Here is a 26,362-nt window from a genome sequence, read left to right on the forward strand (position 1 = left end):
TACAGGCATGAGCTACTGTGTCCAGCCATGTTGGATACTTTCTAATACTTCCTTCCACCTGTGAGAAACTTAGTCTAAACCATGTTACTATTCAATCTACTATTTCAACACTCTTCATGCTATATTCAAACAAAATTCAATTTCAAAAAAACTAGTAAGCACTGTCACTCACGATTATCAGCAATGCATGCATCCACAGTCTTCGTCACAACCACTGCAAGTTTAGCACTGGAAAGAGTCTCATGTGAATCAGATTCCAGCTGCATGAGAACTTGAGACAATACATCCAGTCCGCCCACAGATACGAAGTATTTCTGAACATATGCTTAAAGAATAAAGTAGCAAAACTATTAATATTTCAAACAAGACAGCTGAATGGTTTTATTCAATAAATCTGCATTAAATATAACATTGACCTTTTCAAATACTTTCTAAAAATCCCAAAATTAAAGAACTAAAAATCCAATCTTTACCTGTGCATATAATCATAAAATAGATTACTTATTATGTATCTTACTTTGACACAGTAAAACTACAGTATTTCTTGTGTACTAGAAATCTTTTTTGTTTCATTTAGTAAGAACTGCTCTATTTTGTAAGAATGGCATTATTAAGCTGTCCTTTAGGCCGAGCATGGTGGCTCATGCCTGTAATCCCAGCACTTTGGGAGGCTGAGATAGGCAGATTGCTTGAGTCAGGAGTTCAAGACCAGCCTGGCCAACATGCTGAAACCCCATCTCTACTAAAAATAAAAATAATAAGCTGGGTGTGGTGGTGCATGCCTATAATCTCAGTTACTCAGGTGGCTGAGGCAGGAGGACCACTTGAACCTGGGAGGCAGAGGTTGCAATGAGCTGAGCTCACACTACTGTACTCCAGCCTGGGTGACAGAGTAAGACTCTGTCTCAAAAAACAAACAAACAAAAACAAAAGAAAAAAACAAAAAAAACACCTAACCCTCAACATTATTAAACAAGTCTTTCAATAGAGTTATAAAGAATATATTCATTCATTTATCTTGGTAATTAGCAAGCTGCCTATTTTCTGCAATCCAACATAACTAATTCCTCAGATTGACTCCTCAAGATGCAAAGTAATTTAACCGTTCTAAAAGAGCATACATCTCATCCATCATATTTACACCTAATTATTTTACTTCTTGGAGCATAAAATTATAACAGATCCCTGAGAGTCGTAACTATTCCAAGCAAAGATTCAATGACCGGTATCTATTTCTTTAAGTCTGAAGTCTTTTGTTCCCTAGTGGAAAATAATTCTGGGCCGGGCACCATGGCTCATGCCTTTAATGACTACAGGCGTGCACCACCATGCCTAGCTAGAAATTTTTGTATTTTTGGTAGAGACAGGGTTTGACCATGTTCCCCAGGCTGGTCTCAAACTCCTGAACTAAAGCAACCTGCCTGCCTCGGCCTCCCAAGGTGTTGGGATTACAGGCGTGAGCCATGGCGCCCAGCCCAGAAACATTATTTAAGGGCAGGCAAACATTTTCAATATTATGGTGGCTCCAAAATAGACTTCTTTCCTAGAAAGTATTTTCATTTTTTAAAAATCTTCAAAAAAGAGGCTGGGTGTGGTAGTAGCTCATGTCTGTAATCCTAGCATTTTTGAGAGGCTGAGGCAGGAGGATTGCTTGAATTCAGAAGTTCAATATCAGCCTGGGCAACATAGTGAGACCCCATCTCTACAAAATAAAAAAAAAAAATTGAAAATTAGCCAGGCTCAGTGGTGTGTGCCTGTAGTCCCAGCACCTCAGGAGGCTAAGGCAGGGGGATCACTTAGGCCTAGAAGTTTGAGGCTGCAGTGACCCATGATTGTGCCACTGTACTCTAGCTGGGGTGACAGAGTGAGTGAGACTCTAGCTCAAAAAAAAAAAAAGCACTTGTTAATGCATTGATGAAAATGGCAGTGTGTTACCACAGATTCTTAGTTATAGCCTAAGTGACAAAAACTCAGGCATATAAGCAGAAGAACATCCTAGACCACATTTATTGTACACTGAATATTTCAGATTTCCTCTGATCTGTAGTTTACTGAGGGTAATGACGTCCTATAACTATCACTCATTAAAGTTGGCTTTTAGAGATAAAGGGACTGTTAGGGTATCACGGAAATAGATTCCAATTTTTTTTGAATTCTAGAGATACATCCTTTGCATGTGACATATGAGTATTCGTTTCAAACACTTGAATATAGATATACATCAGCAATGTGTGAAAGTTCTAGTTGTTCCACATCCTTGCCAATATTTAACATGACCACTTTTTAACATGCTAGTGGTGTGTAGTAGTATCTCCATGGGATTTTAATTTGGATTTCTCTGATAACTAATTATTTCTTGAGCATTTTTTTCCTGAGACAAAGTCTTGTTCTGGCTCTGTCACCCAGGCTGGAGTGCAGTAGCGTGATCGTGGCTTACTGTAAGCTTGAACTCCTGGACTCAAGTGATTCTCTTGCCTCAGTTTCCTGAGTAACTAGGACTAAAACAGGTGCATGCCACCATATTTGGCTAATTTTTAGAATTTTCTTGTAGAGACAAGGTCTCACTACGTTGCCCAGTCTGGTCTCAAACTCCTGGGCTCAAGCGATTCTCCCTCCTTGGCCTTCCAAAGCACTGGGATTACAGGCATAAGCCACCATGCCCAGCCAATCTTAAACATCTTTTCAAGTGCTTATTTAATATTCATATCTTCTTTGGCGAAGTATCTGTTCAAATCTTTTGCCCATTTTTTTTAATCTTTTAATCATCAGGTTGCTTTTGTCTTCTTACTGATTTATAAGAGCTGTTTACAAGTTTCTGGGTACAAATTCTTTTTTTTTTTTTTTTTTGAGACAGAGTCTCTCTCTGTAGCCCAGGCTGGAGTGCAGTGGCGCAATCTTGGCTCACTGCAAGCTCCACCTCCTGGGTTCATGCCATTCTCCTGCCTCAGCCTCTTGAGTAGCTGGGACTACAGGCGCCCACCACCACGCCCGGCTAATTTTTTTGTATTTTTAGGAGAGACGGGGTTTCACCGTGTTAGCCAGGATAGTCTCAATCTCCTGACCTCGTGATCCGCCTGTCTCGGCCTCCCAAAGTGCTGGCATTACAGGGGTGAGCCACCGTGCTGGGCCCAAATTCTTAATCAGATAAATGTTTCTTAAATATTTTCTCTCAGTCTAGCTTACCTTTCATCCTCATAGCAAGCTCTTCCGAAGAGCAAAATTATTTCAATGGAGTCCAATTTATCATTTTTTCTTTAGTTATTTATGCTTTTTGTGTCCTTAGAAACCTTTGCCTACCCCCAAGGTGTGAGAATCTTCTGCTTTTGTTAACGTTTTATATTTTTCACTCTTATACTTATTTAAGTCTATGAACCATTTCAAGTTAGTTTTTGTATACTGTATAAGGGTTCAGATTCATATTTTGCATATAGATACCCACTTTTTCTAGCATTATTTGTTGAAAATATCTTTTCCTCCACAGAATTGCAATGGCATTTTTGTAGACAATCAACAACAATATATGTATGAGTCTATTTCTGGGCTCTCACTTTTGTTTCCTTAATCTGTAAGTCTACAAGGCCAGGTGCGGTGGCTCATGCCTGTAATCCCAGCACTTTGGGAGGCCAAGGCGGGAGGATCACTTGAGATTAGGAGTTCAAGACCAGCCTGGCCAACATGGTGAAACCCCATCTCTACTAAAAATACAAAAATTAGCCAGGCTTGGTGGCGGGCACCCGTAATCCCAGCTACTCAGGAGGCTGAGACAGGAGAATCACTTGAGCCTGGGAGGTGGAGGTTGTAGTGAGTCGAGACTGTACCATGCACGCCAGCCTGGGCAACTAGAGTGAAATTCTGTCTCAAAAAAAAAAAAAAAAAAGAATCTGTAAGTCTATACCTACACCAAAGCCACGCTTTCTTGATTTCTGTATAAGTATTAAAATCAGGCAACACAGTCCTACGGTTTTATACTTTTTTCCCCAAAAGTTTCAATTATCCTAGCCCCTTTGCATTCCATGTAAGTTTTAGAAGCAGCTTGTTAATTTCTAGAGAAAAATCTGCTAGGATTTTGCTTGGGAATTCCATGAGTCTAGAGATGAATTTGAAAGTGACGTTCTTACAGTGTTGAGTCTTATAATCCAGAGTATTATATATCTTTTTTATTTTTGTTACTCTGTGTGTGTGTGGCTGGGGCGGTGTTACAGGATCTCCCTGTTGCCCAGGCTGGAGTGCCATAGCACAATCATAACTCACTGCAGCCTTGACCTCCCAGGCTCAAGCAATCCTCCCAAGTAGCTCAGACTACAGGTGTGAACCATTACACCTGGCTAGTTTTTAAATTTTTCTGTAGATACAGGGTCTTTCTATGTTGCCCAGGCTGGTCTTGAACTCCTAGATTCAAGTGGTCCTCCTGCCTCAGCCTCCCAAAGTGCTGGGATTATAGGCATAAGGCACTACACCTAGTCTCTTGTCTTTTTCCCAGTCTCAAGGGGAAAACATTAAGTCTTTCACCGTTAAGTGTGTTACTTGTAGTATTTTGTAGAGGTCGTTTATCACATTAAGGAAGTTTCCTTCTGTTCCTAGTTTACCATGAGTTTACAGATGTAGGTTGAATTATGTCAAATGCTTTTCCTGCATCTATTGAAATTATCATATTGTTCTTCTTTTCTAGACTGTTAATATGATGAATTTTCTAATGTTAAACCAGTCTTGCATTCCTGGGATACACGCCACTTGGTCATAACATATTATCTTTTCTATATATTGCTAAATTAGATTTGTTAATATTTTGTTAAGGATTTTTACATCTATGTTCATAGAGCTATTAGCCAACAGTTTCTCGTAATGTTGTTTCTGGGTTCTGATATCGGTGTAATGCTGGCCTTATATGTTGGGAAGTGTTTCTCTCACTTCTATTTCCTGGAATAATGTATGTGAAGTTATTTGTTTGTTTCCTGAAATGTTTAGCAGAATTCGCCAATGTAACCATTAAGGCCTGGAATTTCCTAAGCTAAGGTTTTGTTTTGCGTTTTGTTGTTGTTGTTGTTGTTGTTTAGAAGTGGGTTCTTGCTATGTTGCCCAGGCTGCAGTGGCTATTCTCAGGTATGATAATAGCACACTATACCCTTGAACTTCTAGACTCAAGTGATCCTCCCACCTTAGTCTCCCAATAGCTGGGACTACAGGCATGCGCCACCGTGCCCAGCTTGTGTTAAGGTTTTAAACTACAAATTTGACTTCTTTAACAGATATAGGAATATTCAGGTTACTATTTCTTCTTGGGTGAGCTTTGTTTGGTAGTTTGTATCTTTCAAAGAATCTGTCCAACTCATCTAAGTTGTTAAATGTCATGACATAAAGCTGTTTCTACTATTCTTTTATTACTCTTTTAATATCTGTTAAGATCTATAGTGATGTCACCTTTCATTCCTGGCACAGGTAATCTGAGCTTTCTCTCATTACTTTGTGATCAGTCTGGCTAGAGGATCACTTTTATTGATTTTTTCAAAGAATTAGCTCATGTTTCAATTATTTTTCTCTATTTCACGATTTCTAATCTCTTCATTATTTCCTTTGTTATGCTTATTTTAACTTACTTGGTTGGCTAATTTCTTAGGTAGAAGCTAATATGGTTTTTTTGGGTTTTTTGTGTTTTTTTTTTGAGACAGAATCTGTCTCTGTTGCTCAAGCTGGAGTGCAGTGGTATGATCTTGGCTCACTGCAAGCCCTGCCTCCCAGGTTCAAGTGATTCTCCTGCCTCAGCCACCCGAGTAGCCGGGATTACATGTGCACACCACCACACCAGGCTAATTTTTTTGTATTTTTAGTAGAGACAAGGTTTCGTCACATTGGCCAGGCTGGTCTGGAACTCCTCACCTCAAGTGATCCTCCACCTCGGACTCCCAAAGTGCTGGGATTACAGGTGTGAGCTACCACACCCAGCCAGAAGCTAGTATAATTGACTTGAGACCTTTCTTCTTTTCTTATACAAGCCTTAATACTATAAATTTCCCTCTAAACACTGTTTCGCAGCATCCCACAGATTTCTTTTAATTTTTAATTTTTTTTTTTTTTTTTTTTGAAACGGAGTCTCATTCTGTCACCCAGGCTGGAGTGCAGTGGTGTGATCTCAGCCTCTGCAGGTTCAAGAGATTCTCCTGCCTCCGCCTCCTGAGTAGCTAGGATTACAGGTGCCCGGCTAATTTTTGTATTTTCAGTAGAGACAAGGTTTCACATGTTGGTCAGGCTGGTCTCAAACTCCTGACCTCAAGCGATCCACCTGCCTCAGCCTCCCAAAGTGCTGGGATTACAGGTGTGACCCACTGCGTCTGGCTTTTTTTTTTTTTTTTTTGAGACAGTCTCTTTCTGTTGCCCAGGATGGAGTGCAATGGTGTGATCTTGGCTCACTGCAACTTCCGTCTCCTGGGCTCACGCGATTCTCCTGCCTCAGCCTCCCAAGTAGCTCGGATTATAGGTGTCTGCCACCATGCCCAGCTAATTGTTGCCAACATGCCCAGCTAATTTCTGTATTTTTAGTAGAGATGGGGTTTTACCATGTTGGTCAGGCTGGTCTTGAACTCCTGACCTCAAGTGATCCGCCTGCCTCAGTCTTCCAAAGTGCTGGGATTATAGGCGTGAGCCACCATGCCTGGCCTAATGTTGTATTTTCATTATCATTCAGTTAGAAACATTTTATAATTTTCCTTATGATTTATGCATTGACTCACAGATTTTAGTACTAAGTTGTTTAATTACCAGATATTTGGGGCTTTTCTAGATGTTTTGTTTTTATTCATTTCTAATTTAATTACCTTGTGATCAGAGAACACACTCTATGGGTTTTTAGTCTTGCTATCTGGTTTCTCCGTTTTATGAGAGTATCTGGGGAGATTAAAAAAATGATGCTGCTACCACCATCTTCCCAATATCCTTCTAAAAATATCTACTTTTAAGATTTTCTTATCTTTAAGAGTCTAAATACATCCAAAATAACCCAAATTACAAGAATTCAATTGATTCAATAATAAATTCAATCGTTTTTATTATGCTTTGAAATATGTTTCTTCAACTATGACCTAGAAAATAACGAACACTTACTGTTATTTGCAAGAGTGAGTCCAATAAATGAGCAAATAGGGCGAATTATCTCAGGTGTCGTGCAATTTTTTAGCCATTCATTAGCATGTGGAAAAAGGGAACAGCAAAACATTTGATTCTCATCTGAAAGAAGACAAAGTCAATCATGATTTAATATGACAATTGGAAAATATCAGTTTTCATTTGTTTTTATCTTTATTTTTATATTTAAACATGACAGATAATTACCATTTTGAGGATTGTTGACACAGACACACAGAGTACTACACACTGAAGACCACAACTGATAACTCTGGAAAACATTTTTATCTGACAAATCCAACTCATGTTTTGAAATAACTGTCCTATTAGGTTAAAAAGAAAAGAAAGTAAATTAATACAAATGTGTTAAGGTCCTAAGTAATGAATAATTAACAAAAAGAAATTTGTATTTGTTTACCTGAATAACCGTGACAGAACTGTAATACAACCTGTTTCTCTCACAAGTGTTTGTCCGGTCCCTTAAAAAAATAGCCATATAAAAATATGAGTTTTATTTACAAATAGTCTTGCAGAAATGAAGAACAGTTAAGTTTTATTTTAATAAATAACTTTTAAACAACTTTAAAGTATTACAAAGTATAACATAGAATTACGGTGGATAAAAATCTGCAATCAAGATTATTATGAAAAATATGTCACTACTGCTTAGAGACTAATTGTATTCAAATTTCCTCTAAAAATTACAAAACTCTTACTTTGCATCATGGTTCTGTGTTGCAGTATCAAGATAAGTTCCAAAATGGAAAAATAAATAAATTCAACCTTTTCTAGTTTTTCCAAAATAAAACAAAATCTAGAAACATTTTTTTTAAGTGCACGCCTGGCAAGAAGGCGCCTCCTCAGGCCTCTCTGGCAAGAGGCTTAGCTGAATTACCTGAGCCTGCTCAGACTACCATTGTGCCTGGGTCTGTGATCCTCCCCATGGAAACAATAATAGCAGAGGACTAGAGGGTGAGAGACCAGCCACTGCTAGCAGAAGAAGGTGAGGCTTGACTTCTCCCCTTCAAAGGATACAACCTGATGCCTCGCTTCCCTGAGGCTGCCCTACCCCCACCCAACACCCTGGGGGTTTGGGCCTTGAGCCCTACAACCACCCAGACTTCCCCCTCTATTGATGCCCACATTTCCCCTCTAGCAGGAAGGGTGGCATGAGAGAGTCTGCTGGTACTGAATATGGTCGTGCTGGGACCTGGGTGACATGGGGAAGGGGTTACACAGCCTTGGCCTCCCCAAGTGCTGGGGTTACAGATGTGACCTGCTGTGCCTACCTAGAAGCATTTCTTTTTTTTGAGGCAGAGTCTCGCTCTGTCACTCAGGCTGGAGTACAGTGGCTTGATCACAGCTCATTGCAGCCTCAACCTCCAGAGCTCACTCAATTCTCCCACCTCAGCCTCCCAAGTAGCTGGTAGTACAGGTGTGTGCCACCACACCCAGTTAATTTTTCTTTTTCTTTTTCTTTTTTTTTTTTTTTTATTTCTTTGTAGAGAGACAAGGTCTCAGTATGTTACCTAGGCTGGTTTCAAACTCCTGGGCTTAAGGGATCCTCCCACCTTGGCCTCCCAAAATGCTGGGATTACAGGGATGATCCACCACCCTGGCCTAGAAACATTTTAAATGCTTACAGAATTTCTAACAGTTTGAAGAATTAAAATTTTAAAGAGTTAAAAAATAACTGAGCAGTAAGTATATGGGAACATTCTATATTCTCTTTGCCACTTTTCTGTAAATCTAAAATTATTCCAAAACAAAAACCATTGCTGGCTTACACCGTAAACACTGTAACTAAATGGTCAATTCAGCAGAAAATCAAATAAACTAATTCATTAAATGCCTCTCTTTTTCTCTTTAAACCTGTTACCTTTCAATGCTAAGTACTACAAATTACTTTATTTCTTAAAATTAATAAGTATTGAATGATTAAATACATGCTAATAACCCACTTTTCTTTAAATTAGTATTCCTCAGAGGTGAGGTTAAAAAAAGACACTGGGCCGGGAGCAGTGGCTCACGCCTGTAATCCCAGCACTATTTGAGACCAGCCTGGCCAACATGGTGCAACCCCTGTCTCTACTAAAAATCCAAAAATTAGTTGGGCATGATAGCATGTGCCTGTAATCCCAGCTACTCAGTAGGCTGAGGCAGGAGAATCACTTGAACCAGGTGGCAGAGGTTGCAGTAAGCCAAGATCATGCCACTGCACTCCACCTTGGGTGTCAGAGCAAGACTCTGTCTCCAAAAACACAAAAAAACAAAACTGATATAAGAACTCAAATAAAAAATTAATAATGGCTGTTCCAATTGATTAAAGTGTTTTCAAATAGTCATAAGAGAATGTACTTACTATTATTTGAAACCAGAACCAAAATAACATAAACAGACATTCTTTTCAAATTTATGTTTGAATCATTAGATAAGAACCAAGTTAAGTCTTCAAACAACTCTGAAGTACACAAAGTCTGCTGACAGTAAACTGAAATATAAAATATAATTTTAATTTCAATGCATTGTCACAAACATGCTTTAAAATATGCTGAACAAAATAAAAAATTGCCTAACTGGCGATGGTTCTTAACCAAATCTCATTTAATTGATATTTATTAGTCATACAACAAAATTTCTGACAAACTGATATGCGCTTACTCAATTAGCAAAGAAGCAGAATATTAATCAAAAGTACTTAATCTAGGCTCCAAAACACATACTGAAATCCCCTAGAATTTACAATAAAAAACTTACCTGAATAAAAAATTAAATAAAATTTAGCAAAAAAAAAAAACACTTTAAAGGATGAGTAACAAAACATAGCAAGAAAAACAATTCAAGAAAATTCAGAAACCTACTTTAGAAAACAGAGGGACAAACAATATTTGTGCTATGTTCTGAGACTTTCCTAGAAATAAAACTCTTTTCAAAAATCATACTACCTGATAGTTTTTGTGTGTGTGTGATAACGCAACAAGCAGAATTTTACAAAAATAATATAGACATAAAGATACAATCAACGTTTCATCCAGTTCCTAGAACCAGCCATTAGACCCTATCTCAAAGGCAAGGACTAAGCCAGGCACAGAAAGACAAACATCATGTTCTCACTTATTTGTGGGATCTAGAAATCAAAACAATTGAACTCATGGAGATAGATGATTACCAGAGGCTGGGAAGGGTAGTGGAAAGTGGTGGGTATGGTACCAAAAAAAAAAAAAAAAAAAAAGAAAGAATGACTAAGACTTACTATTTGATAGCATAACAAAATAACCATAATCAATAATAATTTAATTGTACACTTTAAAATAACTAAAGAGTATAATTGGATTGTTTGTGTAACATAATGAATAAATCCTTCAGTGGATGGAAACCCCATTCTCCATGCCGTGATTATGCACTGCATGTCTGTATCAAAACATCTCATGTACCCTATAAATATATACACCTATTATATAGCCACAAAAATTAAAAATAAATTAAAAAAAAATTCGGCCGGGCGCGGTGGCTCACGCCTGTAATCCCAGCACTTTGGGAGGCCGAGGCGGGCGGATCACGAGGTCAGGAGATCGAGACCATCCTGGCTAACACGGTGAAACCCCGTCTCTACTAAAAATACAAAAAATTAGCCGGGCGTGGTAGCGGGCGCCTGTAGTCCCAGCTACTCGGGAGGCTGAGGCAGGAGAATGGCGTGAACCTGGGAGGCGGAGCTTGCAGTGAGCCGAGATCGCGCCACTGCACTCCAGCCTGGGCGACAGAGCGAGACTCCGTCTCAAAAAAAAAAAAAAAAAAAAAAAAAAAAAAAAAAAAAAAAAAAAAAAAAATTCAGGGACTATATCTTACTTATCCCTGTATCCCCAATGCCTTGCACAAAGATTGGTTCCTAAAAGGTGATTTTTTTTTTTTTTTTTTGAGACAGGGTCTTACTCTGTGGTCTGTCACCCAGGTTAGAGTGCAGTGGCATAATCTCGGCCCACTGCCACCTCCACCTCCCAGGCTCAAGCAATCTCCCACCTCGGCCTCCCAAGTAGCTGGGACCACAGGTGCACACTACCATGCCTGGCTGATTATTTGTATTTTTGGTAGAGATGGGGTATCACCATGTTGTCCAGGCTGGTCTCAAACTCCTGAGGTCAAGTGATCCACCTGCCTCAGCCTCCCAAAGTGCTGGGATTATAGGCGTGAGCCACCACGCCTGGCTGATGAAGAAATATTTAATAAATAAAAATATAAGAATATAAAGTTGGTCTGACAAAACAATGGTTTATATTCATCCTCATTTTAGACACACTGCAGAAAAGTGTTCTTGCCAATGTGAATTTCTATACCCAAAGCATATTTACCCACACATGACATGGTTGTGGGTTATCTTCATCCTTTGATCTGGAAAGAAGATGAAAGAGAAAGGAAAAGACAGGGAAAAGGGAAGGGAAGGAAAAAGGGAAGGGAAGGAAAAAGGGGAGGGGGGCAAAGGAGAAAGGGGAGAGGAGGGGAGGAGAAGGGAAAGGAGGGAGGGGAAGGGAAGAGAAAAGAAAGAAAGAGAGAGAGAGAGAAAGAAGAAAGGAAAGGCAAGGAAAGGAACGGAAAGGAAAGGAAACGAAAGGAAAGGAAAGGAAGGAAAGAGAGAGAAAGAGAGAAAGGAAGGGAGGGGGGAAGGAGGCTAGATAAAATTATTCAAACATGTAAAAAAAAGGAAAGGAAATTAACTATAAAATTAGTTTTGAGTATACTGTTAAAATATAACACAATGCTTAAAGTATAATGAAATAAAGTTTTATATTTTACCATTTTTCTCTGCAATAGCTCCTAATGTATATAAGGCTGCTTCTTTTACCATGCTATGTTCACTTGACTTTGCAAGATTTTTTACAAACATCAAACCACCAATTTCCCGAAAATAAACACTTGCATTACCTGTAGGATGTGCAGAAAAAAAACAAAATAGAAATGATATTTATTTTCAGGGATAAAATAAATCACATGAAGACGTAACATGATATGTAGAATAACTGAATGGAAGATAAAGAACTATGCTTATTTGATATATCAGAGTACTAAAGAACTAGAATCACAGATAAAAATTCACTATTATATCTTACTGTTTTGTTGACAAATTGAATGAATAGTGACCAAAGCTTCCTTTTGTGAAAAAGCATTGTCCATTTGATACTTTAGACACTCCAATAATAAGTTCAGGTCAGTCTTCATTTCTAAAGAACAAAAATGTCATTATTTTAAACCAAAAGGTTTATTTCATAAACTAACCATTCAAATTTCACTTACTAAATACATATCTTTGGAATGGTCAACTTTTAAAGTAATAGGCAGGTATTACTTTTATAATCCAACAACCATGTATTTTTTTTAAAAATGTTCTTTAAATAAAATAACTTAAAATGAACATCTTATAGTTCTTTGAGTTTCCCTTTTTATAAATATAGGAATAGAAAGTCCAAATATTATTCTCTTTAAGTAAAGCCACACTGGTTTAAATATCTGTCATTTAGAAAAAAAAAGTGGATAAAAATGAAAATAACAACATATGAGAATTTGTGGGATGCTACAAAAACAGTATTTAAGATGAAAGGTCTCAGATCAATGACATCGGCTCCCACCTAGGAAATTAGAAAAAGAACAAATTAAACCCAATATAGGTACAATAAAGGAAATTATAAAGATCTAAGCTGAAACCAGTGAAACAGAAAACAAATACAGAGGAAGTTCTTTGAGAAGAGCAACAAAACTGATAAACTTCTAGCCAGATGAATTAGGAAAAAAGGAGTAAAGACACAAATTACCAATATCAGAAATGAGAGAGATGGCATTACCACATTCCACAGATATTCGGAAGATATTAAGGGAGTACTACATACAATTTCATACCTACAGATTGAACAACTTAGGTGAAATGACATCACCAAAACTCACCCAAGAAGAAAAAGACAACTTGAATAGTCCTATATCTATGAAAGAAGTTGAATTAAGAGTTAAAAACTTTTCCTCAAAGAAAACTCTAGGTTCAGATGGTTTCATCTGTAAATTCTACCAAACATTTAAGGAGGGAATAATATAAATTCTACTCAATTTTTTTCAAAAGTTTAAGAGAAGGAATACTTCCCAACTTATTCTATGAGGCTGGTATTACCTTTATACCAAAACGGAAGCCATTAGCAACAAAACTACAGACCAGTTTCCCTCATGAACATACATGCAAAAAGTCTAAACAATTTTAGCAAATTGAATCCAACAATATATTAAAATAAAAATACATCACGACTAAGTGGGTTTATCCCAGAAATACAAGGTTGATTTATGATTTAAAAAAAATCAATGTAACAAAACTTAAACAGGAAAACCTTTTGGTCATCTCAATAGATGTAAAAACAGCATCTGATAAAATCCAACGTGCATCCCTGATTAAAGAAAAATATTCCGCAAATTTGGAATAGAAAGGAACTTCCTCAACCTGGCAAAGTGCATTTACAGTTGAAAACCCTACAGCAAACATCATACTTAACAGGGAGAGACTGAATATCTTCTCTCTAAAACCAGGTATAAGACAGAGATGTTTGTTCGTATCACCACTCCTATATAACATTGTCCCGAAGAGTCTAGCCAGTGCCGTCAGGTAAGAAAAAAGAAATAAAAGGCACCCAAATTGGCAAGGAAGTATTTGAATTTGCATACAACATGATCTTCTATATAACTGGATGGAATCTACAGAAAGCTACTAGAATCAGTGAACTAAGTTTTCCAGATAACTCTTTAATACATAAAAATAGATTGTACAGCCAAGTGTTGCTTAATGATGGGGATACATTCTGAGAAAAGCATCATTAGTTGATTTTATCATTGTATCAACATCATAGACTTTACTTACACAAACCTAGATGGTAGAGTTTATTACACATCTAGGTTGTATGGACAGCTATTGCTCCTAGGCTATAAACCTACACAGCATGTTACTGTATTGAATAATATAGTCAATTGTAATACAATGGCAAATTTTTGTATATCTAAACACATCTAAACATAGAAAAGCTATAATACAGATTTTTTTTTAGAAGATATATCCAGAAGCTGATATGGGTGCATCAGCGAGTGAGTGGTGAATGAATGTGAAGGCCTAAGACATTATTGTACACTACTGTAGACTTTATACTACTCAATTTATTTTTAAAATTTTATTTTATTTTATAAAATTTTATTTTATTTTATTTTGCACTCCAACCTGGACAATAAGAGCAAGACTCTGTCTCAAAAAAACAAAACAAAAAAAATTTAGAGTTCTGAAAGATATAGGATGAAGGGTGGATATAATATAGAGGAGCATACTAAGAGAAATTAAGATGTATCATCAATCAATACAGTACTTAGTCTCACTCTTTGTTTTGTGGTTTGGTTTTTTTTTTTTTTTTTTTTTTTTGAGATGGAGTCTCGCTTTCTCACCCAGGCAGGAGCGCAGTGGTGCTATCTCACTCACTGCAACCTCTGCCTCCTAGGTTCAAGTGATTCTCCTGCCTCAGCCTCCCGAATAGCTGGGATTACAAGTGCCCACCGCCATGCCCGGCTAATTTTCTGTATTTTTACGAGAGATGGGATTTCACCATGTTGGCCAGGCTGGTCTCAAACTCCTGACCTCAGGTGATCCACCTGCTTCGGCCTCCCAAAATGCTGGGATTACAAGCATGAGCCACTGCACCCGGACTGGTTTTTTTTTGAAATGGAGTCTCACTCTGTCACCCAAGCTGGAGCGCAGTGGCACAATCTTGGCTCACTGCAACCTCTGCCTCCCGGGCTCAAGCAATTCTCCCACCTCAGCCTCCCAAGGAGCTGGGATTACAGGTGTGCACCACCACGCCCAGCTAAATTTTTTTTATTTTAGTAGAGACAGGGTTTCACCATATTGCCCAGGGTGGTTTCGAACTCCTGAGCTCAGGCAATCCATCTGCCTTGGGCTCCCAAAGTGTTGGGATTACAGACCTGAGCCACCACGCCCGGCCATAGTCTCACTGTTGAAAGAAATTCAACTGTCAATTTGTTTCAATGAAATAATTCATGACAAAATTTGTTAGTGAAAAACCATAGTACAAAGGTTATCACTAAGATGCTTTTAGCAACAGCAAATATTTATCTATCATTTTGTACACTAACAGACACTATAAGAAGGTAAGTTTGACTATGGATACCAATAAGCCACATCAACGTGCCAAAGAAAATTTTTGATGGAGCATAATGATTTTCAGTTCTAGGCACAATGCAGGCAGGATACAAGAGACTTTTCTTCTCTTTTCTTTTCTTTTCTTTTGAGACAGGGTCTCACTATATTGCCCAGGCTGGAGTGCAGTGGTGCAATCACAGGGCACTGTAGCCTCAACCTCCTGGGCTCAAGGGATCCTCCCACCTCAGCCTCCCAAGTAGCCGGGAATACACGCACATGCCACCACGCCTGGCTAATTTTTATATTTTTTGTATAAACGGGATTTTGCCATGTTGCCCAGGCTGGTTTCAAACTCCTGAGCTCAAGCCATCCTCCCACCTCGGCCTCCCAAAGTGCTGGGATTATAAGTGTGAGCCACCAAGCCTGGTCTGCAAGAAACTTCTTTACGTATTCCTCCATTCCCTTCTGTATGCCTTTCTCATACTTTGGTATCTCCTATCATAATCCTTCCCTTCCCAGCCAAAGCATCTCCTGACATAACAACTATCATGTTTCACCTTGGTTTTTATCTTCTCTAGGCAAAGTAACCTAGTTCCTTCAATACCTCCTGAATAAAATAAACCAGCAAACACTGAAGTGAATACAAAAAACACAATCAGGCTGGGCACAGTGGCTCACGCCTGTAATCCCAGCACTTTGGGAGGCCGAGGTGGGTGGATCACAAGGTCAGGAGATGGAGACCATCCTGGCTAACATGGTGAAACCCCGTCTCTACTAAAAATACAAAAAATTAGCTGGGCGTGGTGGTGGGCGCCTGCAGTCCCAGCTACTTGGGAGGCTGAAGCAGGAGAATGGCGTGAACCTGGGAGGCCGAGCTTGCAGTGAGCCAAGATCCGGCCACTGCACTCCAGCCTGGGCGACAGAGTGAGACTCCGTCTCAAAAAAAAAAAAAACACACACACACACACACACACACAATCAAATAAAATTTGATAAATTGGACTTAACATTTTAAACCTTTATACCTCAAAAGACACTATCAAGAATGCAGAACAACAGCCCAGTCTAGCAGAAAATATCTGCAAATCAGTTATCCAAATAAATAGGGGGCTTGTGTTCAGAACACATAAAGAATTCTTAAAGTGCAATTCTAAAATCACAATCTAAAGTGTGGAATGGATTTAAATAGACATCTGTCCAAAGATGACAGATTGCCAATAAGTATATGAAAAGATGCTCAACATCACTGGTCATTAGGCAAATGCAAATCAAAACCACAATTAGATACCACTTCACCCTGTTGCTAAACAATTGACTGATGGGAGCTGATGGATAAATACTCTTCACCCTTTGGCTGGGATGACTCTCAGGGACATGACTCTAAACTGGCTCCCAGTTTCCCAGTGGGCTTAAGCTCCAGTTACCCATAATAACTACTTATTTGATAACATACTCTCTGTCTTCTTTTTCCTATCTCATTTTCCCACTTTCCAGCTAGTGTTTCCTGGGATCACTTTCTGAAAAAAGGTACTTGCACTCAAATCCTTATCTCACAGTCTACTTCTGGGAGCAATCTAAAGACTTAAAATGGAAGAGAGTGAGGTGTGGGACTGAGGTTGGAGGTTTCGTAAATGGTTTGAGAGGGGAATCACCAACAGTTATCCCCTATCTCTCCAGTTTTCAACTTCTCCCTCTCCACAATCTCCATTCCCTCTTCAGAAATTCTGTCTTTTATAACACTTTCTTGACATTACAACTTTCCTCTAGCTACTGCCATATATCTTACTATTTATTTATTTATGAATGAATGACAGGGTCTCGCTCTGTCATCAACGCTTAAGTGCAGTGGTTCACTGTAGCCTTGACCTCCCAGGCTCAAGTGATCCTCCCACCTCAGCCTCCCAAGTAGCTGGTACTACAGGTGTGTACCACCACGCCCAGTTAATTTTTAATTGTTTTTGTAGAGACGAGGTCTCAATGTGTTGCCCAGTTTAGACTCAAACTCCTGGGCTCAAGTGATCCCCCACTTTGGCCTCCCAAAGTGCTGGAATGATAGGAGTGAGCCACCACACCCGGCTGATCATATATCTTTAGTCAAGCTCTTAAAGAGTAAGCAATTCATACTGTGTGTCTTCAGATCTTAATTTTCCACTCAAATCTAAACAGACTGCAATCGGGCTAAAATCTATTAAGTTTACCATTAACATAACAAATTACATCCTAAATGCAAAACGCAGTGGAAAATTCAGTCCTCAGCTGTGGCATTTGACATTTTAGGCTCTTAAGCAACCTCTTTCTCATGAAGCATTCTCGTAAGGTTCTGATTTCCAAGATACCACATTCCTCTCTTTTCACCTTTTTGAAATGTTTTTCTCAGACTTTTTTTAAGGGCTGTCTTCCTCAGCTAAAACCTTATGTGATGGTGTATATTATTGAACACTTTTCTCTCTGGTTAACCTCCTCCATGCCCATGGATTCAGTTTCCATCTTTCTGGGAACAATTCTGAAATCTGTACCTGCAGGCATCCTTTGATGGTAGTCCTCTCAGGTTCCCATTATTCTTGTATACACTGACATTAAATCAACTATCACATGATATTCTAATTGTCAGTATGTCTTTTCCCATTAGAATGTCAGTTTCCTGAAGCCAGAAATTATGTGACAGGCACAGAGTAGTGCTCAATAGTTATGTAAATGGCTGAATGATTCTTTCATTTCCTGGATCCTGTCAGATAATCTACAGTACATCCTACCAATACAAAACTCATTGCAGATATATGATCCATCAATTTCTCACCTTGTGTTTTCTTTGTGTCTTCACTTTCCATGCTTGTCTATATTCTTTTTCCTTATATTTTGTCTATAAGATAAAGGTATTTTCTCAATTTAAATCAATGTTTGAGAATGGCAAAGATATAAGTACAAATGGGCGGGAAAAATTGTTTTCCTGAAGCCAAAAGACCGAGGAACTACAACTTTTAAAATAATAATTAAACTTAATTAACTTAGTTAATAAGTTGAATCTGCAACTTATTAGATGCGTGATATCAAGCAGGTTGATTAAATTCTTTGAGGCTCTGTATCCTCATCTGTAAAATAGAAATGATATTCCTATTTCACAGAGATGTTACCATAATTACATTGAAAAACATAAACATATCTGGCATTTCTAAGCACTATATGCATTCAACAAATTTTATTAAGCAAATGAATGATTGGGTGACTGGATCTAACTGGACCTCTTAGCTGGTCCCATTTCCTTCCTTTTTTTTTTTTTTTTTGGACAGCAGGGTCTCACTCTGACACCCAGGCTGGAGCGCAGTGGCTTGATCACGACTCCCTGCAGCCTTGACCTCCCAGGATAAGGTGATCCTCCCACCTCAGCTTCCAGAGTAGCTGAAACTACAGGCACATGCCACCATACTTGGCTAATTTTTTGTATTTTTTGTAGAGACGGGGTTTCGCCATATTGCCCAGGCTGGTCACAAACTCCCGGTCTCAAGCAATCCACACACCTCAGCCTCCCAAAGTGCTGAGATTACAGGTGTGAGCTCCCACACCCAGCCCCCATTTTCTTATTTTCTTCATGGAAATCTTCATCTCATAGTTTCAGATTAGGGACCCCTCTACCTAAGAGAGGTTTAAAAACACACCACACACACACACACACACACACACACACACACACACACTCTTTAGATTGGCCTTTCTCTTCACAAGCTAAATACTAAATTAACAACCCATGGTTATTTTCAACATGGTATAGTGAGATGGGATCTCACTATGATGTCCAGACTGGTCTCCTGAGCTCAAGCAATCCACCCACCTCAGCCTCTCAAAGTGCTGGGATTACACACTTGAGCCACCATGCCCAGCCTAGAACCATTTTTAAAATAACTGGCAACTCTGATATGGCCTCTCACATACCCTACTTTAAAATGCTAAACTGATTAGTTAGAAAAAATGCCTCAGAGTCCAGTTAACTTCTTAGAGCAACAAATCAGGATTCACAAAACTCTAAAATTCTTATTTATTCCAACACTATGTTGTTAAAGAGAGATATCCAATTATCCATTTATAGAGCAAGGCCTTGTCTCAAAAAGAAAAAAAAAAAAAGAAAATACCTAAGCACAAAGAAATGTTTAAAGAAATAACAAATGTAAAAATCTTTTATAAAGTAGTATACAAATGTACAAGTATATTATTTTTGCCTTTTTTTTTTTTTAAGAGATAGGGTCTCAATCTGTCACCCAGGCTGTAGTGCAGTGGCATGATCTTGGCTCACTGCAGCTTCAAACTCCTGGGCTCAAGTGATCCTCCTGCCTCAGCATTCCGAGTAGCTGAGTCTACAGGCACACATCACCACACTGGGCTAATTTTTTAATATTTTTGTAGAGACAGGGATTTTGCTATGTTGCCCAGACTGGTCTTGAATTCCTGGCTTCAAGTGATCCTCCCGTCTTGGCCTCCCAAAGGGCTGAGATTAGAGGCATGAGTCACCATGCCTGGCCCATTTTTTAACCTAAATATTACATTACAATAGAAGTAGGTATGTTATAAGTCCACAGGATTGGATATTATTACAAGAATATTCACATTTACTAGAAATGTTCAATAGCAAAGAAAAATGCTATGTTACAAAGTTAACCAAAAAGAGTATAAGACTCAATTTAATCTATAGTATGATCCAAAGTAGATAGAGGTAAACATAAAATAAGACTGGCTAGAAAGACGACATATTAACACTTGTCTTTAGTTGGTGGTTCTATGGGTTTTATCCCACTATTTTCTATTTTTCACAATTTTTATAATAACAGCTTCTAACATTCAGTAAATACCTATTGAGGCTAGACTTTGTTCTTTACACCTTATGAATATTCTTTTTAGTCTTCACAATAACCTTATGAGGGAATTATAAGGACGAAGATACATGAGGAGAGGGCAAATAATTTGACTAACTTCAAAGTGCTAGTAAGTGCTAGAGTTAAAATGGGAGCCAAGAAAATTTCAGGCTAGGGCCTACACTCTTATCCTCTCTTATACTGTCTCCCATATATAAATACATATTGCTTTTGAACAAATGGGTTAAGATTTGGAAAATATTACTAGATTTAAAAAGATGAACTCTTTAGAAAATGGAAAATTGTTATCATATATGGATGTTTTTGTTTCATGGACAACCTTAAGGACTATTTCCTTAATTTTAATTATCCAATCTATTCTGCTTTTAATGTAATTTTTAAGAGGTGTAATGTATAACTTTTTCTTTTTTCTTTGGATGGAGTCTCACTCTGTTGCCCAGGCTGGAGTGCAGTGGTGTGATCTCAGCTCACTGTAACCTCCACCTCCCGGGTTCAAGCAATTCTCCTGTCTCCGCCTCCTGAGTGGCTGGAATTACAGGCACGCACCACCATGCCTGGCTAATTTTTGTATTTTTAGTAGAGACAGGCTTTCACGATGTTGGCCACGCTGGTCTCGAACTCCTGATCTCAGGTGATCCACCCGCCTCGGCCTCCGAAATTGCTGGGGTTACAGGTGTGAGCCACCGTGCCTGGCCTAAGAGGGGTAATGTATAACTTTTAAACCTAAATGCTTTAAAATTAAAACTGGTCACCCACACTCTTTTCTCCCTTTGTTTTTATACTTTTTTCTTATAAATGGTTACTTTGCACAAAAAGAGTTTGCCAAGTACTTGGTAGCATTAACACAAGTCATCTATTTACTTGAGAAGTGCTTACAAACACCCATAGCAAAGGATAAGTTATAACTTTCAAGGGATTGATAATCAGAAAATTATATTTAAAATTATAAAACAAGTATATTCTCAAGAACAAAAGCATCTGCCATATAAAGCAGATTATGAAGTGCTTTTAGTAATTTAGTGAATATATGTACTGCCACAAACAAGGAGATTTCAAAATTCTTTACTGTATTCTCACAGGAAAAAAGGATTTTTTTCTGGATGACAGAGAGAACCTCTCCCACTTACACGTTTCACTCAACCCACTCCCCAAAACAGTAGTGTTAACTCAAATTCAAATTTCAGCAAGAAAAGTAGCTGAATATTACTTGTTTACCTGATTTAGAAAATGTATACAAAAGCTTTTGGGGGGCCGGGCGTGGTAGCTCGCGCCTGTAATCCCAGCACTTTGGGAGGCCGAGGTGGGCGGAAGACTTCAGGCCAGGAGTTGGAGACCAGCCTGGCCAACATGGTGAAACCCCGTCTCTACCAAAGAAAAGTACAAAAATTAGCTGGGCGTGGTCACGCACCTGTAATCCCAGTTACTTGGGAGGCTGAGGTGGGAAGATCCCTTGAGCCCAGGAGATGGAGGTTGCAGTGAGCCAAGACCGCGCCACTGCACGCCAACCTGGATGATGGAGGGAGACCCTGTCTCAAAATAAATAAATAAAAATAAAGAAAGTTTTTTTTTTTTTTTTTTGAGACAGTCTGGCTCTGTCGCCCAGGCTGGAGTGCAGTGGCGCCATCTTGGCTCACTGCAACCTCCGCCTCCCGGGTTCAAGCGACTCTCCTGCCTCAGCCTCCCCAGTAGCTGGGATTACAGGCGCCCACCACACCAAGGCCAAGAAAGCTTTTTGAAATCGAAATATTATCCCAGTATATCAGAAAGATAAATGGCATCTTTTTGTGTAAGGCTGGCAGGGCTGATAATCCCACCACTAAATTGTTTTTTGTCAGCGGATATCCAGCTTGTAATTATATATAGCGAAAATACCCTCTAAAGAAGACGCAAGAAGAGAGAAGGGGCAAATTTGTTTTCGATCGTTTAAACGGTCAAGAAATAACAGTCATTCAGGTCCCAGAAAACGCACTGTGGGTACCAGAAGTCAGCTGGCTCTGCAATATGAACACCCCCCCACTCCAGCCCAGAGCATAAATCCTCAGGGCCTCCTCCCAGGTTCCACAGGTAACAGACACGTAACCTTTCCAAGGCGGGGGCGCTCACCCCGCCCGGCTTCCTGCCCATTCAGCCTGCGGCCCGCTCACCTACAGAGTTGGATGAATTCCTTGTGCAGAGCTTAGGTGGCCCCTCCAGGCTCCTCTCTGACCAGGGCTCGCAAGTCCTGCGTGGGAGCAGGACACTGGTTAGCCGCGCGGGCCACTCGTGAGCCATCAGCACCCTCAGCAGGCCCTCCCCGCTCAGGTGCTGTGTGACATGCGGCCCGGCCCTGGCCCTGGGAAACGACCTCACCGGTGGGTCCCACCCTCTCCACACATCAAAGTCACCTGGGGAGGCGCCTGGGGAGTCAGAAGTGAAATAGGGGGGAATACTGCCAGGCTTTACACGTCTCTAAATGGTGCATCACGTGATGACTGTCTCTTCCCGCCAAGGGCTGTGGGGACTACAGCCGGGGCCTGGCACCTGCTCATAAAGGCCCCGTCCCCCCAACTCGACCCTTCTCACGTGGGCTAAGGGCCTGACGGGGCGGTAAGACATCCTGGCCGGCCCAACCCGCCTTACACAGGCGCCAACATACAGAGTTTCCAAGCGCGGTAAGGCAGGACAACAACGCGCGGGAGCGGAGGCCGTGGCGTCTACCCTCAAGCGGGAGCTTCCGCCCTTTCTTCATCACCGCTCACCTGCCACGACGCACGACAGGGTTTCCCGCCCAGCCGACCAGGCTCACGTCCGTGGGCGGGACTTCCGGCCGGCAGCCCCGCCGCCCCTGCAAGGTGTCTTACGCTTCCGCGGGTGCCCTAGGTTGCCAAGGGCAATGGGGTGGTCGGTGTCCCGGCCGCAAGATTTTTTAAAAAGCTACAATTTGAAAGAGAAATCTCACCGCCCCCGGTTTTTAGGGTTTTTACCTCAGACGAGCATTAGCCCCAAAATTAGGGGACTGTGCACGCGGTTGACGAGGCCTGGCTATGGGACGGTGGCCGCGAAGCACAGGACGGCGAAGCCCCAACCTCCCCTCCACCTGGCATCTGTGCTGTGTGTTCTCCCTTTTGTTGGGCACCTCGCTAATCGTCACCACAGCCCCACAGGGGCAGCCAGGCCTCCACCTCACCAGGGGGCTTCCGGAGTTCAGTCCAGGAGGACTTCTCCGCGCCTGGACCAAAGGATCAGAGTGGGGCCAAGGCCTGTCCCTTGCCGCCTCTGCCGTAAAATGCAGCCCATGGGACTGCTAGGCGATGAAGGCGAGGGGAAGGTCCCCGATACAGTGAAGAACAGCCAAAGAATGGCTGACACATTAGCGTCTGGAAAACCAAGTCCCTGTGAGGTACCCTAGCAAATCTAACAGGTTCTCACTTAAGAGACGCTGGCCTCAGAGACAGTTGCAGCAGATTAGGGGCCTTAGCTACTAAGAGTCATGCACCACGGACCACGTTCCTCAGCCCTAAGTATTAATACATCAAGCCCAAAACCGGGAACTGCCCCCACTTCTGGATTCTGGATTTCCACTCTGTTTGCATCTACTACTTCCTTTTTTTTTTTGCCCTCTAATATGCTGGTGAATGCTATTAGTCCCATGTGATTAAATTTAAGAGTATATATAATATGAGTAGAATGACCCCATAAAATTTCAAGAAGTAGGTTAGGCAGCCAAAACTCAAGTTAATTAAGATAATACTACATACAAGGGGATGGTCTTGTTTTCTGGGAAAACTACATATCCAGAAATATCTTTTTAAATTCTATTCATTTTAACAAATGATGATGGTCCTAAAATGTCCATAGCTAACATCTGCACATGGCTTAAATTCATTATTGAAGATGGTAAGAAAAAAAATTTTTAATTATCTCTAATAAAACACAAGGATAATCTATGACAAGTAACTTTGAAATAGCAAGCCAATATTGATGCTCAGTGAGAAATGGATAGGATTCATTTTCTAGGAAAATGACTGTCTCCTTTCCCCTCCCCACAAAGAACAAGACTACATTATTACAAATGAGAAAAATGTTTATTAAGAAAACAATTTAGCAGCTCTCCTTTAGAATTTTACAGACTAAAGCACAACCCGAAGGCAATTACAGTTTCAATCATTAACACACTACTTAAGGTGCTTGCTTACTCTACAACTGGAAAGTTGCTGAAGTTTGTGACATGCCACTGTAAATGTAAGTATTATTAAAAATTACAAATTGTTTGGTGATTATTTTGATGACCTCTTGAGCAGCAGCTCCTGAAAGGAAAAAGGAGAAAAGCAAATCTTTGAAAGAGTAAACTTCAAGAGTTACATACTCAATTCTGTAAAGAAACTTTTCCTTTTCAAAAGCAAAGGTGTTTTAAAGTGACCCAAAACAGATGCAGTTAGCTTACTGAGTCATATCAACATAAAAGCCTATAATTCTTTTTGTTATTAAAGGAAATCTAAACAGTAGTGTGGTTGACCAAACTTTAAAGGATACACACAGGCATAAAAGATTCTCAAAGGACACCCTACTGCTGCATTTGAATTTTACCTTGTATCTGTTTTATAATAAAAAAGGAGAAAGGTATATTTGTTCTGAATGCATTTGTAATTTAGGAAGGATCTATATTAAATATCGCCAGACCGCTATATTTACTCAAAACAAAAAAACTACTAAGAAAAAAACTTGTGCATCTTCTATAACCTGAAGATTCCTCTTTCCCAAATATTCATGGACTGGATAGAATTTTTTTTTTTTTTTAGACTAGAGTCTCACTCTGTCACCCAGGCTGGAGTGCAGTGGCGTGATCTCGGCTCACTGCAACCTCCTCCTCCCAAGTTCAAGTGATTCTCTTGCCTCAGCCTCCCAAGTAGCTGGGATTACAGATGCCTGCCACCACACCTGGATAATTTTTTTGTATTTTTAGTAGAGATGGAGTTTCACCATGTTGGCCAGGATGGTTTTGAACTCCTGACCTCAAGTGATCCGCCCACCTCAGCCTCCCAAAGCGGAGGCCTTACAAGCATTAGCCACCGCGCTCAGCCGACTGGATAGAATTTGAGACTACTGTGCACCAAATACTGTTCTAGGCAGTAGGGATACAGTAAGGAAAAAAGACAAGAAGATCCACTTACCCTCATGCTACTTTTTAGCAGCAAGAGAGAGAGAATTTATTTACAAATAAATAGAATGTGTAGTATGTCAACTGACCATAGGTGCTAAGGAGAAAAAGCAAATAAGGGAGATATAAATACAAGAGAAGGGGTTTGTATTTTAAATAGGAGAGTCAGGGATGGCATCGCAGAGAAGACAGCATTTGAATAAAACCTGAAGGAAGTGAAGGGATATAATGGCACTGTGCAAAATGATTACAGAATGCACAGAAGTAAAAAACAAAAAAAAAAAAACAAAGAAAACCTTCAATTTATACTTTTTTCTGCTATAGTTAAGTCATCCAGTCCATCCATCTGGCTGTACCTCTTCTTAGATTCTGGACTGCATCTGAATAAATAATAATTTGCCCTTTTCTGTGAATTGGCAGAAAATTTTGCTACTTTGGCACAAGAGACTACTTGGTTTTAGTTTAAAATAAATTATTCTGAATCAGGCTTTAATTTGGATTTGCTTAGAAAATAGTTTTCTTAGGTCTGTATGATGCATTTACATTTTGAACACTTCAAATATTAATTAGACCTAAATCTGCCTTTAAAACATTCAACATCTAGAAGGAAAATGCCACAAGCTAATAGCTCAGTCTACAGGAGATCACAGGACAGTAATTTTTTTTGAGGGGTGTTATGGACTGAATGGTTCGTTTCCCCCTCAAATTCATATGTTGAAATCCTAACCCCCAGTGTAATTGTATGAGGATAGGGCCTTTGGTAGGTGATTAGGTCAAGAGCGTAGAACCTTCATGAATAGGATTAGTGCCCTAAGAAGAGACCCCAGAGACTTCTCTTGCCATTTTTTTTTTCACCATGTGAGAACACAGAAGAGAGAGCTGCCTATGAACCAGGAAATGGGCGCTCACCAGACCTGACCATGCTGGCACCCTGATCCCAGACTTCTAGCCTCCAGAACTCTGTGACAAATTTTTATTGTTTATAAGTCTATGATATTCTGTTACAGCAGCCCAAACTGACTAAGACAAGGGGGAAGTAGAGTGAGGGAGGGAAGTAAAGGGAGCTTTTATGAAAGACATGTC

At 39.9% G+C, this 26,362-nt stretch overlaps 2 protein-coding genes across 23 annotated transcripts in view; both read right to left on the reverse strand.

The window, feature by feature from the left end:
- Positions 1–23,335, reverse strand: part of TERB1 (telomere repeat binding bouquet formation protein 1) — a 47,386-nt gene extending 24,051 nt beyond the window's left edge. For 9 of the 18 annotated variants that reach the window (XR_007064867.1, XR_007064868.1, XM_047433956.1 and 6 more), the window contains exons 1-10: positions 22,778–22,894; positions 22,287–22,363; positions 18,078–18,140; positions 12,219–12,329; positions 11,905–12,033; positions 9,479–9,607; positions 7,535–7,595; positions 7,324–7,439; positions 7,096–7,218; positions 173–325 (exon numbers count right to left, since the gene is read on the reverse strand). Coding sequence is in view for 16 of the 18 variants with exons in the window: in XM_047433956.1 (XP_047289912.1) it covers positions 173–325; positions 7,096–7,218; positions 7,324–7,439; positions 7,535–7,595; positions 9,479–9,607; positions 11,905–12,033; positions 12,219–12,329; positions 18,078–18,108 (853 nt within the window). In the remaining 2 variants the exon portion in view is untranslated. Of the gene's footprint in view, positions 1–172; positions 326–7,095; positions 7,219–7,323; positions 7,440–7,534; positions 7,596–9,478; positions 9,608–11,904; positions 12,034–12,218; positions 12,330–13,047; positions 13,152–18,077; positions 18,141–21,357; positions 21,458–22,286; positions 22,364–22,526; positions 22,718–22,777 lie in introns of those variants that run through there. The other 9 variants (XM_047433947.1, XM_047433948.1, XM_011523005.3 and 6 more) reach the window with 9 other exon arrangements.
- An 852-nt stretch (positions 23,336–24,187) lies between these two features.
- The window catches only part of NAE1 (NEDD8 activating enzyme E1 subunit 1), a 28,099-nt gene continuing 25,924 nt past the window's right edge, over positions 24,188–26,362 (reverse strand). For all 5 annotated transcript variants that reach the window (XM_047434835.1, NM_001018160.2, NM_003905.4 and 2 more), the window contains one exon: positions 24,188–24,428. In XM_047434835.1, coding sequence (XP_047290791.1) covers positions 24,319–24,428 — 110 coding nt within the window. In that variant the 3' untranslated portion in view covers positions 24,188–24,318. The remainder of the gene's footprint in view (positions 24,429–26,362) is intronic.

This window comes from Homo sapiens, chromosome 16 (genome assembly GCF_000001405.40).
Source record: "Homo sapiens chromosome 16, GRCh38.p14 Primary Assembly".
In the NCBI taxonomy this organism is placed as follows: domain Eukaryota; kingdom Metazoa; phylum Chordata; class Mammalia; order Primates; family Hominidae; genus Homo; species Homo sapiens.